This window comes from Homo sapiens, chromosome 8, assembly GCF_000001405.40.
Source record: "Homo sapiens chromosome 8, GRCh38.p14 Primary Assembly".
Classification (NCBI taxonomy): Eukaryota; Metazoa; Chordata; class Mammalia; order Primates; family Hominidae; genus Homo; species Homo sapiens.
Window position 1 is genome coordinate 110,975,568 of NC_000008.11, and position 14,126 is coordinate 110,989,693.

The following is a 14,126-nucleotide window of genomic DNA, read 5'->3' on the forward strand; positions in this document are numbered from 1 at the left end:
ATTTGTAATTTTTGTAGAGACAGGGATCTCACTATGTTGTCTAGGCTGGTCTTGATCTCTTGGTCAAGTGATTCTCCTGCCTCAAGATGGGAAGCCATTAGGAAGGTTTGAGTGGAAGGCTGACATTTTATATTTTTTATTTAACAGGATCCCTGCCTACTGTGCTGAGAATTAAAGGGAACAATGGGGTAGGAGAAGGAAAAGCTGATTGGAGTCAATTGGGGGAAAATTCTAATAAAAGACTTTTCCAGTTTGGTCTCAAGATGAAGTGCTGGAGGTGAGGAGAGATGGGCAGATGTAGGTGAGAGAATTTTCTGACAACTTGAATGTGTTCAGAGACAGAAAGATCCTAGTCAAGGTTCAACATAGCCCCTTTTACAAATAAGACCTCAATCAAAAATGCAGTATTGGTTTCCAATTTTGTATGAAAAATAAAAAGTGCATAGCAATCCCCCTTCTCGGTGTATATGCAAAGGAACTGAAATCAGTATGTTTAAGAGGTATATGCACTTCCATGTTTATCACAGCTCTATTCAGAATAATAAAGATGTGGAATCAATCTAAGTGTCCATCAACAGATGGATGAATAAAGAAAATGTGGTATGTATACACATTAGATCACCATTTTGCCTTTAAAAAGATGGAAATCCTATCATTTGCAACAACATGAATAAAACTATCAGACACCATGCTAAATGACATGAGTCAGGTACAGAAAGACAAAGCACTACATCATCTCGCTTACATGTGGAATCTAAAAAAGTCATAGAATAGGAGAGTAGAATGGAGGTTGCCAAGAGCTGTGCCGTGGAGGTGGGGGTGGGGTGAAAGTGTGGAGATATTTGTAAAAGGATACAAATTTTCAGTTAGACAGGAATAGTAAGTTTTTGAGATCTATCACAGAGCATAGTGACTATAGTTAATAGTAATGTAATGTATATTTCACAATTACTAACAGAGTAGATTTTAAATGCTCTCACCAAACAAAAAAATAAGTATGTCAGGTGATGGATATGTTAATAAGCCTAATTGAATCATTGCATAATGTATACATATATCAAGAATCACACTGTACTCTTATCATTGTTATTTTTCAAATAAAAATAAAATAAAAATTAGCAAATAAAAACTATATTAGTTGCTCACTGAATATGTGCATGATGTCTTCCCAAATTCTTCCCAACTGTGATTTCAATTATGTGACATCTGTCTTTTCTGCTAACTTTAGTATCCATCTTTGAATAAGATGTCATTCTGTAGTGTACTAGAATGGTATAGACTGTAGAGAGCTGTCCAGCATGAAATAATGCTGAGTTCAATGAGGCTATCTTAAAACATTTCAATCATAAGCAAAATGACATTTGAAAGTAGACTTGAGATCTCTTATGGATTGATCAATCTTTTCACTCTGTCTACTTGAGAGTATGTTGTTCTGGAAGTAAGGTCTATGACTATTGGAAGATTGTTGGCAGCATAAATCAGCATTTGTTTTAGTCTCAGAAGCTGTGCATATAGGTATGGGGAAAGGGAGAAGGTGGCAGTATATGTACCACAGATCATTTATTTAGGTGACTCCTGTCCACCAGAGGGAGGTCAACAATCTTTGTCCAATCTAATGGAAAATTATGCAATTGAAGATCCATCAGGATAAAGAGATCACACACATTTGAAATTCCTTCTAATGTTTGATGCTCACTGCTTATGAAGCCTTCTTTTTGTTCACTCGGGGGCATTCAGTGCTCAGGGTCTAGAGACTGACTTTATGTTGGTCTGTTCTTGGATTCTGATCTGTGTAAGTGATTTCTCTGCCTTCATGGCAATGCCTTTACATTTTTCCCTCAGTATTGTACTTACCTTTCTTCTTTTTGAAAGCTTTAGCCCTTATTTCCTGCCTGTGCTTCCTAACCAGGCACTTATTCTTTAATTTAACATGTTCAGAGAGCTGCCTTCCCTCTGTCAGAGAGGAAACTACTCAGTAGCAAGTCATATGTACTTTTCTAATTTTATATCAAAAAAAGCTTTAGGTGGTATTTGTTAAATGTTTCCTTTTATAATCAGTATTTCACATTGCTTTGCAGAAAAGTCTATAGATTTATTCATCTTCTACTAGAAAATTGTTCCTTCTTTGACTCTCTTGGTCTTATTTTCAGATATTTTCGAAAGATCTGGGTTAGTTTTTTCTTTGCATGTTTTCTCTTAAAAAAATAACAATTTCATCTACTCTGAAAGCCTTCTCTAACACTCATCCTCCAAATACAGATTAGAGATGCTTACATATGCTGATATAATATGTTGATGTTTAAGCAATCACCACAATGTATTTTAATTATGCTTCTTTATCAATATTGTCTATTTTTCAGTAAAATTGCTGACAGCAGAAGTCTATCTATTTCACTCCTGTACTTGTAACATGTAGCTCAGTACTCAGAGACTAGGTGATCAAATACTATAGAATTCATTAACTAATGGATATCAATGCTATGCAGATGACATCCAAAGTGGTACTTACGACTAGAATTCCTCTCCTGTGTTCCATTCTCATATATTAAATATTTATTTGTCCATATTATATTCTACGTTCTAAGACAGTCCCATCATTTTTTACCCAAACTAATTTCATTTTCATTCTTGAAATAAAAATGATTCTAAGCCACAGTCACACTCATAAGCTTTAAAACCTCCCACAACCTCTTTGCAAGCTCTTTGCAAGCCATTCTATGTTCTATATCATCTGCTCAAGCATGATTTCCTTGTTGTTTTCCTTCTACTCACAAAGAAAGAGTTTTGATAGTGGAAAATGTATTCATTTTGGTAAGAGGAATGTACTATTTGGGCTTTTGTTCTCTGATTATGTACCTTTGAAAACTGGCAAGCCCCTTACTTGTCTGAAGAGATCAGGCACAGTCAGGGTGGTATGGCCGTAGGACTCCCTTACTTGTCTATGGCTTGGTTTCTTTCTATAAAAATGAGATAATGATATTCTATGTTTTTTGATGGGGATTAATTATGACAATGTATGTAAAGCACTTAGAAAAGTGCTTATTGTATGCTGACTGCCCACTTAGCATAGCTGTAATTATGATGTTTGCCTCTTAATCTGACCAAGTTGAACTATCCCTTAGTCCACTTACTATATTGTACTTTAGAAACTCTGCTAATAGACATAGAGTGTTGCTGAGTCTCTACCCACTTGTATAACAAACCATAAAAAAAAACACAGATGGTTTGTTAATTCTCCTTGCTCTTCTTTTCTTTCTTTTTTTTTTTTTTTTTTTTAGATGGAGTCTCGCACTGTCGCCCAGGCTGAGAGTGCAAGTGGCGCGATCTCAGCTCACTGAGCTTCGCCTCCTGGGTCCACGCCATTCTCCTGCCTCAGCCTCCCGAGTAGCTGGGACTACAGGCGTCCGCCACCACGCCCGGCTAATTTTTTGTATTTTTAATAGAGACGGGGTTTCACCGTGTTAACCCAGATGGTCTCGATCTCCTGACCTGGTGATCCACCCACCTCGGCCTCCCAATCTCCTTGCTCTTCTTTAGAGCAGAGATCATACATAAAGCTGTCTGTACTCTTATAGCTCTGTTCACTTCTTCTATTCACTTGTTTCCATTTCCTCTTGAATCTGCTCAATCTGGAGTTTGCCTCTGGCACTCACCAAACTTCTCTAGGTCACCAGTGGTGTACATATATTGATAACTCAATAGTAATCACTCAGTTTTCCTCATATTAGGTCTATCAGCAATCATTAGCACAAATTCTTATTTATTCTTTCTTCTTGGGGAAGATACCACATTCTTCTGTGTTTTCTCCAACAACCACATTCTCTTTTTTTAAGTCACTCATTCTAGTTCTTTCTGTTTTAATCAATCTCACAAATGCTGGAGTACTTCAGGACTGAACGCTTGGAACTCTTCTTTTCTCTGTAAACATTTACCCTCTTTTAGTACTTTCATCCAGTCTTTTGTGCATAAATAAAATACATATTTTGATGACTTCTAAATTTCTACCCCAAACCTAAATTTTCCTCTAGAAATTGTGCTATCACTATTCACTCCACATTAGAAAAAATGGATTCAGCATTGATTAACCTAATACAGGTTTGGCTTGAATGTCATATCACTGGAGACTACATGAATCACCTGTTTAACATTGTGCACCCCCACCCACAATCCATCTACCAACTCCTCTTGCTTACTTTGTCTTCATATAATTTAACACTACCTTATTTTTCTCTTTTTGTCATTCTAACCCTTGTCCTTGATCACCTCTTTCATTGCATCATTGTTATTATCCTTGTCATTACTATAACATACATTTCCCTTATATTATAATAACGGAAATAATATAATAAGTATTAGATATAAAAGACAAATGCATTAACACTGTAAGCTCCATGAGAACAGTATTTATATCCAATACTTCCTACTCTGTAATTGGCAACATAATATAAATATTCATTGGGTGATGAAAGTATGTTTTGTGGAGAACGCTCATTCATTTTAGTATGTCATACATTAATACTTAGAAGCTCTCTTCATGTGACTGAAAGCATGAGTAATATATATACAGTAATGATATATATGAGTAATATATAATATATACATTATTAATCTGTGTTTCAATAACGTAAGAGCGTGTTCCAAAATTAATCTTATGATTTTACATTATATATTGCACATTATATATCATAAATAGTACAAATTAAATATTATGTTATATACAATATATCCAGGCCTAAGAAGAAAAATTATATAGAAGGAATCAATTATCATTGTTTTGTAGATCTGACTGAACTCCTCATTAGCTGATTTCTCCACGTTTTATGCTTGGATGTTATATAGAGAAAACTGATCCATCACGGTGAGTCTATAAATATGGTATATGATTCACTTTTCTATATATACATAATTATTAACCTGATTAGTTTAATCTTTTCTCTCCAGTGAATAGCTCCCTGATTAGTGTATGTCTTTATGGTGTATATCTGCATCTATCTATCTATCTATCTATCTATCTATCTATCTATATTTCTGATTTTTCATTATTTCACTGTTTCACAAAAGCATTATTGTGAAATAAATATTGACATTGTTTTCTCTTCTCATTATTTTTAATGTCCCATGGTCAGAAAACCTCCATGACTAATGCCACCTTACACATTGCATTTAGTGTTGGCTTTTAAACTTGTTCATTTAAAATTGAAAGTGCTGATTTTAGCCATGCGTTCTTCAATTCTAGAACTTATATGCACTGAATAGAGAAAATTTGGGGAAAATTCAGACAGTTTAATGTCATATATCCCATATGCCAATAGGTGCCACCATTGCACTGTGACAACCCTTTACGCTGTGGTAACAAAGAAAATTTAAGTATGAAATAATTAAATATAATTTGGGGGATATATGCAGCACTTAGTTGTTTCTCTCCCCTTGCAATAGAAATGGAAAATTAATTTTTCATGGAAGAAAATTTCTTGCTGTTATTCCATGTAGTTATGTTACTAATATAACCAAAAATGTTGCTAGACAACATTCCTGCGAGTATTCTAAACTTTTACAAACCCCAATTTTTTATTAAACAAAAACTAAAAGAAAATAAGCAAAACAAAGCAAAGGCCCACATCAGATTTATGTCTCATGTCTGTATTTACAAGTCTTTCTCTGAAAGTCTTTCAAAATTAATCTCTTGCTTAAATTTTACCATAGAAATGTAGTAATACTGTATAAAGTAATTTAATGATGTCACATGAAGTGTCTATTTAAAAAGCCATAAGGTCATCAGACATGAAACTCAAACTTTATGTAGAGAGAAACAATAGGCAATCATTAAAAGTAATTTTCTCTTTTGTGTTAGTGAATACATTCAGTTTACAATTTGCTGTCCATTGTATTCAAAGATAACATTCCTATTACCCTCATTGCATTTTCTTACAATTTCTGCTAAAATTAATTTGTCATTTATAGTTTTATTTTTCCAGAAAAATTCTACATACTGCCTTCTAATTAGTGGTTTGTGCTATCATTAGTGATATTCATCTTTCTTCTGTTTTTATAGAAAATAATCTCAGCTGACATAGAAATTTCTCCAAAATAAACTTACTTATATCTGAATGCCCCGTTCCAGGTTAATTTTCCTACCCTTCGAACTTAACTGAAGCATACTTATGAGAGACTTATTTTAATAGAGTGAGCAAAAGTATATTCTATACTATTTCCTGCTTCAATTTTATGGAACCTTAATCAATGTTGCTCAAATTTCTATGCTCATGTATTTTTTAAAATTCTCTCTATAGAAACATGGGCATAATTTCCTCTGAATACAATTTTAGAAATGGCAACAAAATTCAGAGTACTGTTAAATATAACAACACCATCTTTATCAGCTTTTAGTACATATCATAGCTCAGTAAAATTTTGTGATGTTGGAAAATATAAGAAATATGTTTGCAGCTAGGCGTGGTGGCTCAAGCCTCTAATCCCAGCATTCTGAGAGGTCGAGGCGAGGGTATCACCTGAGGTCGGGAGTTCGAGACCACCCTGACCAACGTGGAGAAACCCCCGTCTCTACTCAAAATACAGAATTAGCCGGGCATGATAGCACACACCTGTAATCCCAACCACTTACAAGGCTGTGTCAGGAGAATCACTTGAACCCGGGAGACAGAGGCTGCCATGAGCCAAGATCGCACCACTGCACTCCAGCCTGGGCAACAAGAGCGAAACTCTGTCTCAAATATATATATATATATGTTTTATATATATATAGTTTGCTTCATAAAGAATTACGAAGATAGACTTTTCCATGAGTTGTGAAATTTTATTGGAGTTTTCATCTGTCTTTTGACCAAGATTTTACTCTTAAAGAAGGTTATATATTATTATTGGAATGCTAAGCCATCTAGTTCTTACCTCTCTAATTAGCTTACTTCCTATTTTGCTATTGATATTTTCAAACTCACTTGTTTGAAATGTATTTATCTTCAGGGTTCTGAAAGTTTCCACACATGTATACTAGGGGCAGAGATATTTACTTTCTTCATGAAAATCAAGTATTTTGGATGAAATTTAAGTTTTTATGAAAATATAACAACTTTTTCCTCTTTCTCAAAAAAACAAAGAAGAAACCTCCCAACACTAATGGTAGGAACCATGGGGAAAAAATGACAAAGCAATTGCTAGCTATTCCACTAAAAGAGCAGAACAATGGGCTATCCTATAGGCTAATCAAGGAATTTATGCCATTACCAAAGCAAAGAGACTGCCAGATTTTGCTTGTGGTAGACTAAGACAACAGAGTATTTTTTGTTTGTTTGTTTCATTCTTCTATGTTCTGAGTGGAAGATTAAAATGCAATTTTCTTGTTTCAATTCCACATCATGTAATATGTCTATGCTAGGGAATGGAGATGAGAAAATAACTTTTTTTTTTTTCAGTTTGTAAGACATCAATGCATACAGAACCATGGCCAGGCAGGGCAGAAAGGACTTTTAATTACACAGAGCTCCTTCAGTTTCAGCCAGATATTATAACTCACGGCGTTGTTAATTTTCTTCCTTAGGAATGATTAGTGTTCTTTCTGTGGAGGAAGGGCATAATGGGTACACTCAGATCCAGACTTTAGGTAGAAGAGGTCATCATAGCAATTACTGAACTATGCCCAGTATCTATTCTCTCTTTCCCTCCCTCTCTCTCCCTCTCTCTTTCTGTTTGTGTGTATGCCTCTCTTTCCCCTCCCTCATTCTTGTTTGTTTGGGGCATGTGTGTGTACTTGGAGGGGCCGTAGCTGCTCATCAGAAGGCTGCATTTCTTAATTTCCTTTGCAGCTCATTTTAGCCATATGGCTTAGTTCATGCCTGAAGTATGAGAGTGAAAGTGATGTGAACAAATATCTGGGTAATTTCCTGGAAGTTACTTATTATAGACTTAATTCACACTCATAATTGGAGCACCTTGACAATCCACATTGCCAAGAATGGTAGAACCATAGCATCAGTTGGACACTTATTTTTTTACTAGTATGCATGAGAAAAATAGTATCTGTCTTTGACAACCCTCTGCAATTTAGTTTGTCTTCTAACACTTTAGTCACTGAACCTCCAATAATACAAGTATGGTGCTATAATTTTTCATATGCTATTGCTTTCAAGTAGTTAATATTTTATTTACGACTTTTAATAAACACAAGCAAAATTGGCTTATACTATTCTCCTCTCATTCTTATCTGTTTTTGAAATTATCATTTGGTTCAACCTGAGAAAGCAAATTACAATAAAAAAAATTATCATTTGGTTAGTTTAATAATGTACATGTAGATATTGTATTTAAAAATAGAAAGCAAATTTAGTCATTTTCTATGACTGAAATACATGATTTTTTCATGTATCATGCACTAAGGTTCACATTCTTATTTTCTTATGAATATAAGGCAAGCTGTTTTAGAACTTGTTATTTTTCAGTCAACAAGTCATAAAGAATATTTCTGGTGAATTAAATTCAAGAACATCAGAATGCACAGACTTTCTGGAATAGTGTGCATCAGTGCTAACCAAGAAATGTTTCTGAAGTACTAGAGATAATTATCTTACTTACTTTGTGAATCTGGAGGTATTAAATTTAGATCATTTAAAATAAGTGGTCGGAATCATATCAAAATATCCAGAAAATTCTTTATTTTATTATATTTTATTTATTTATTTTACCAATGTTCATAGCAACTCTATTTTGCAAACAGCGACACGGTGGAAACAACCCAAATGTCCATCAGTTGATGAATACATAAACAAAATGTGATATATCCATATCGTAGAATATTATTCAACCATAAAAAGCAATGAAGTACTGATAAATGCTACAACATGGATGAACCTTGAAAACATTATGCTAAGTGAAACAAGTCAGATACAAAAGGCCATGTATTGTATAATTCCATTTATACCAGATATCCAGAATAAGCAATAGAAGAAGAAAAGCTAAATATTGAGCTCTTGCCACATGCCAGATACTGTCTGAAATTCTTTATTTTTTTAATTTTTTTATTACACTTTAAGTTTTAGGGTACATGTGCACAATGTGCAGGTTTGTTACATATGTATACATGTGCCATGTTGGTGTGCTGCACCCATTAACTCGTCATTTAACATTAGGTATATCTCCTAATGCTATCCTTCCCCTCTCCTCCCACCCCACGACAGGCCCCAGTGTGTGATGTTCCCCTTCCTGTGTCCATGTGTTCTCATTGTTCAATTCCCACCTATGAGTGAGAACACGCGGTGTTTGGTTTTTTGTCCTTGTGATAGTTTGCTGAGAGTGATGGTTTCCAGCTTCATCCATGTCCCTACCAAGGACATGAACTCATCCTTTTTATGGCTGCATAGTATTCCATGGTGTATATGTACCATATTTTCTTAATCCCGTCTATCACTGTTGGACATTTGGGTTGGTTCCAAGTCTTTGCTATTGTAAATAGTGCTGCAATAAACATACGTGTGCAAGTGTCTTTATAGCAGCATGATTTATAATCCTTTGGGTATATACCCAGTAATGGGATGGCTGGGTCAAATGGTATTTCTAGTTCTAGATCCCTGAGGAATCGCCACACTGACTTCCACAATGGTTGAACTAGTTTACAGTCCCACCAACAGTGTAAAAGTGTTCCTATTTCTCCACATCCTCTCCAGCACCTGTTGTTTCCTGACTTTTTAATGATCACCATTCTAACTGGTTTGAGATGGTATCTCATTGTGGTTTTGATTTGCATTTCTCTGATGGCCAGTGATGATGAGCATTTTTTCATGTGTCTGTTGGCTGCATAAATGTCTTCTTTTGAGAAGTGTCTGTTCATATCCTTTGCCCACTTGTTCATGGGGTTGTTTTTTTCTTGTAAATTTGTTTGAGTTCATCGTAGATTCTGGATATTAGCCCTTTGTCAGATGAGTAGATTGCAAACATTTTCTCCCATTCTGCAGGTTTCCTGTTCACTCTGATGGTAGTTTCTTTTGCTGTGCAGAAGCTCTTGAGTTTAGTTAGATCCCATTTGTCAATTTTGGCTTTTGTTGCCATTGCTTTTGGTGTTTTAGACATGAAGTCCTTGCCCATGCCTATGTATTGAATGGTATTGCCTAGGTTTTCTTCTAGGGTTTTTATGGTTTTAGGTTTAACATTTAAGTCTTTAATCCATCTTAAATTAATTTTTGTATAAGGTGTAAGGAAGGGATCCAGTTTCAGCTTTCTACATATGGCTAGCCAGTTTTCCCAGCACCATTTATTAAATAGGGAATCCTTTCCCCATTGCTTGTTTTTCTCAGGTTTGTCAAAGATCAGATAGTTGTAGATATGTGGCATTATTTCTGAGAGCTGTGTTCTGTTCCATTGGTCTATATCCCTGTTTTGGTACCAGTACCATGCTGTTTTGGTTACTGTAGCCTTGTAGTATAGTTTGAAGTCAGGTAGTGTGATGCCTCCAGCTTTGTTCTTTTGGCTTAGGATTGACTTGGCAATGCAGGCTCTTTTTTGATTCCATATGAACTTTAAAGTAGTTTTTTCCAATTCTGTGAAGAAAGTCATTGGTAGCTAGATGGGGATGGCATTGAATCTATAAATTACTTTGGGCAGTATGGCCATTTTCATGATATCGATTCTTCCTACCCATGAGCATGGAATGTTCTTCCATTTGTTTGTATCCTCTTTTATTTCCTTGAGCAGTGGTTTGTAGTTCTCCTTGAAGAGGTCCTTCATGTCCCTTTGTCCCTTGTAAGTTGGATTCCTAAGTATTTTATTCTCTTTGAAGCAATTGTGAATGGGAGTTCACTCATGATTTGGCTCTCTGTTTGTTATTGGTGTATAAGAATGCTTGTGATTTTTGCACATTGATTTTGTATCCTGAGACTTTGCTGAATTTGCTTATCAGCTTAAGGAGATTTTGGGCTGAGACGCAGGGGTTTTCTAGATATACAATCATGTCATCTGCAAACAGCATATATAGTTAATGTTTTTGAGTTATACTTTTAATAAAAAATTACTTGCCACTGTTTAAAAATAACAGTAAAGCAACTGTTCTGATCAAATAATGACATGTTTATTTTAAGACATATTTAATAGCCTGGTGAATTAATACATTATTTATACCCAGCAACTACCATTTCACTTTTTCACAAATGTTACTAGATTGCGGAAAATTAAGAATAATAAATTAGTAAATAATCTCAACTATATTTCAGAGTAAATAATCTCAACTTACTCTATTTCAGATACATAATTTATATTAGCAATATTTGACTATTCAAAAATAAGTTGGAAATTTTTGTTTGGAACTATATCTAAATTCTACTACAAAAGCATATTGAGCAAGTTATTATTTGTTGCGGGAAGTAAAATTTGTTTATCATGTTTTGTAATAAAAGCAGTATTGAAAACATGTCATTAAATAATTCATATATGTTTTTCTCAGTATGGGCCAGCTCAGAAAATGGTCTAGGCAAAATGAAATTACATTCAAATTTCTGAAAACATACTTATAAGCTATTTCTTGTCTCTAGAGCATTATATATGTCCACAATTGTATAACTATTTTATAAGTAAAAATGAATCATGCAAATAAATATTATAGTTATCTTCTAAAACTAATATAGTTTGTGGCTGGCTTACATGTGTCACATACTCTATTTCCTTTGAGAATTGCCAAAAAAAGACATTTAAATGGAAGCTTAAACATTGAATACCTGCACATACTAAATGTAAGTTACAAGGATATTCATTTAACTGTGATTTTTAAATTCCTATCTACATTGTCTCTGAAGATCCGAGTGAATGAAACAATTAAAAATAGGGTAATCTCATAAAAAGCACTACATTCAACAGAGTGTGACGGAACCATTAAATAAAACCATCTTACTGTGGAGTTATGATGTACCAACATTTACTGATTTAAGTAGACAATGCCTTAATTGCTATGGGCAAGAATGTAAGAGTTTTCTGGTTAACAAAATGTCTATAAAATATTAATAATACTTTTTGAAGCATAATCTATTCACTAAAGCCAAAAAGTATATGCATCCTATAAGGTTTTACATTATTTCTATATTTTGAAATACCTAATTCCATGCTTTAATATGTACAGGCAGTTCAATGATACTTGAATGTATGCTACAATCTAGGCACTGTGATCAGTACTGGAGTTAGGAAAAAACGTAAGATGCTTTTTTTTTTCTGCAGTCAGGGGACTTATTTTTGAAAAGTCACCAGTGCTGTAAATATATGTTTGCATATTGTTTCATACATTATAAAGTAATCTCACATTTAACCTATTTGACTCTAAAAAAAATTTCCTGTGGTTCATAATAATCATTCCCATTTACAAACACAGTCACTCAGATTCTGACAATAAAAGTATAAGTTTACAATAACTTTCAAGAAACATGCAAATACATATATTTGCATGTTGGTTTTATTTCTAAATTCAGTGTTATTATTACTTCGTCACACTACTTTCATTTTAGTAAAAAACAGAGACTCAAATCCATCAAAACACCGGCCAATGTCATATCCTGTATGGAAAATGAGGAACATGAAATCTGTTCTTAAAACCACCAATTCAGGATTATGTTCATTACTACATGGCCTCCTAAGTTTACTGACAAACCTAATATTATATGTCTAACTAGGTCTGCCATAGAGATGGCTAAGAATTTTATTTATTTTTTTAAATAACTCAAAATTAAAACAAGATCAAAAGTTACTTAGATTCATCCTGTCCATTCTTTTCCATCAATTCAGTGGACTCACTTGATTTCCATGTTGGATTTCCATCTCTTCCTTGTGCATTTTAGTTATTTTTTTGAGTATGCGAAATATTAACCATTTATGAAAACATTCTTTATAACAACGTATACACACACATTCACTTTTGACCATAAAAAATATTGTAAGGAGGCCGGATGCAGGGGTTCACGCCTGTAATCCTAACACTTTGGCAGGCTGAGATGGATGGATCACGAGGTAAGGAGTTCGAGACCAGCCTGACCAACATAGTGAAATCCCATCTCTACTAAAATAAATAAATAAAAACAAAATTAGCTGTGTCTGGCAGTGTGTGCCTGTAATCCCAGCTACTCAGGAGGCTGAGGCAGGAGAATCGTGTGAACCTGGGGGGCAGAGGTTTCAGTAAGCTGACATTGTGCCATTGCACTCCAGCCAGGACAACAGTGCAAGACCCTGCCTCAAAAAAAAAAAAAAATATATATATATATATAGTAAGCAGTCTATCAAATTAAGTTAAAAATGTTACAGGTGGTCAATTGGTTGTTGTTATCTTTATGCTCACCAATATAATTTATTCTTTGGATACCATTTGTACCCTCAGCAACTTCAAATATTCTATATCTATTTCTGCATTCATTATATGATTCCATATATATACTCTATTTTCTCTGTTTAAGGCACCCATTAGTCCTACCTCTTTTATGAAAGCCTTTCAAAATGGCTATGTATTTATCTCTCTCTTCTTAACATGAAGCAGATAAAATGTGACTCAGCATATATTAAGGAATTATTTTAGATCTTTTTTTCTTAAGTTTTTTATCTGGAAAGAATTTCAGATGATGATCAAAAATTTTGCAAAATCAATTAAAACAATTCTGTTCCTGCATATATATCCTGGAATTTAAAATAAAAGTAGAAAGAAAATAACAAAGCAAAACAAAAAGAAACAGTTCTAGTTACTTGTATATCATATTTTTAAAAACTTATTACAAAACCACAGTACAAATATGAAAGCCGGAAACATAACATAGATACAATACTATAATCTCTAGACTTAATTTACTTTTAATAGTTGTTTTACAAGTGTACTTTTTGTTGTCTAGGATTAAATCTAGTTGTCATGCTTTTTCATTCTCCTTTATTTTTTGTTTTCCCAGTCTTTTAAAAAATATTATGATTTTTACATTTTTGAAAATATTGGCCACTTATTTTGTAGAATTTGAACTTGTGTGATATTTCTTAGTTATTATTTCTCAGGGCATCATATCAGCAGGCACAAGGCATCAGATGTGCCATTGTTAGTTGTGTTAATTTTGTTATTTGGTTATGGGGTTGTCCACTAAGTTTCTCCACTGTTAACAACATTTCTACTT

At 34.0% G+C, this 14,126-nt stretch overlaps 1 long non-coding RNA gene across 2 annotated transcripts in view; it reads right to left on the bottom strand.

Annotated features, from left to right (window-relative positions):
* Positions 1-14,126, bottom strand: part of LINC01608 (long intergenic non-protein coding RNA 1608) — an 89,744-nt gene that overhangs the window by 37,878 nt on the left and 37,740 nt on the right. The window contains exon 5 of one of the 2 annotated variants that reach the window (NR_125416.1): positions 7,383-7,573. The exons of the other annotated variant lie outside the window; for it this stretch is intronic. This is a non-coding gene — a long non-coding RNA (long intergenic non-protein coding RNA 1608). Of the gene's footprint in view, positions 1-7,382; positions 7,574-14,126 lie in introns of those variants that run through there. 2 annotated transcript variants of the gene reach the window in all.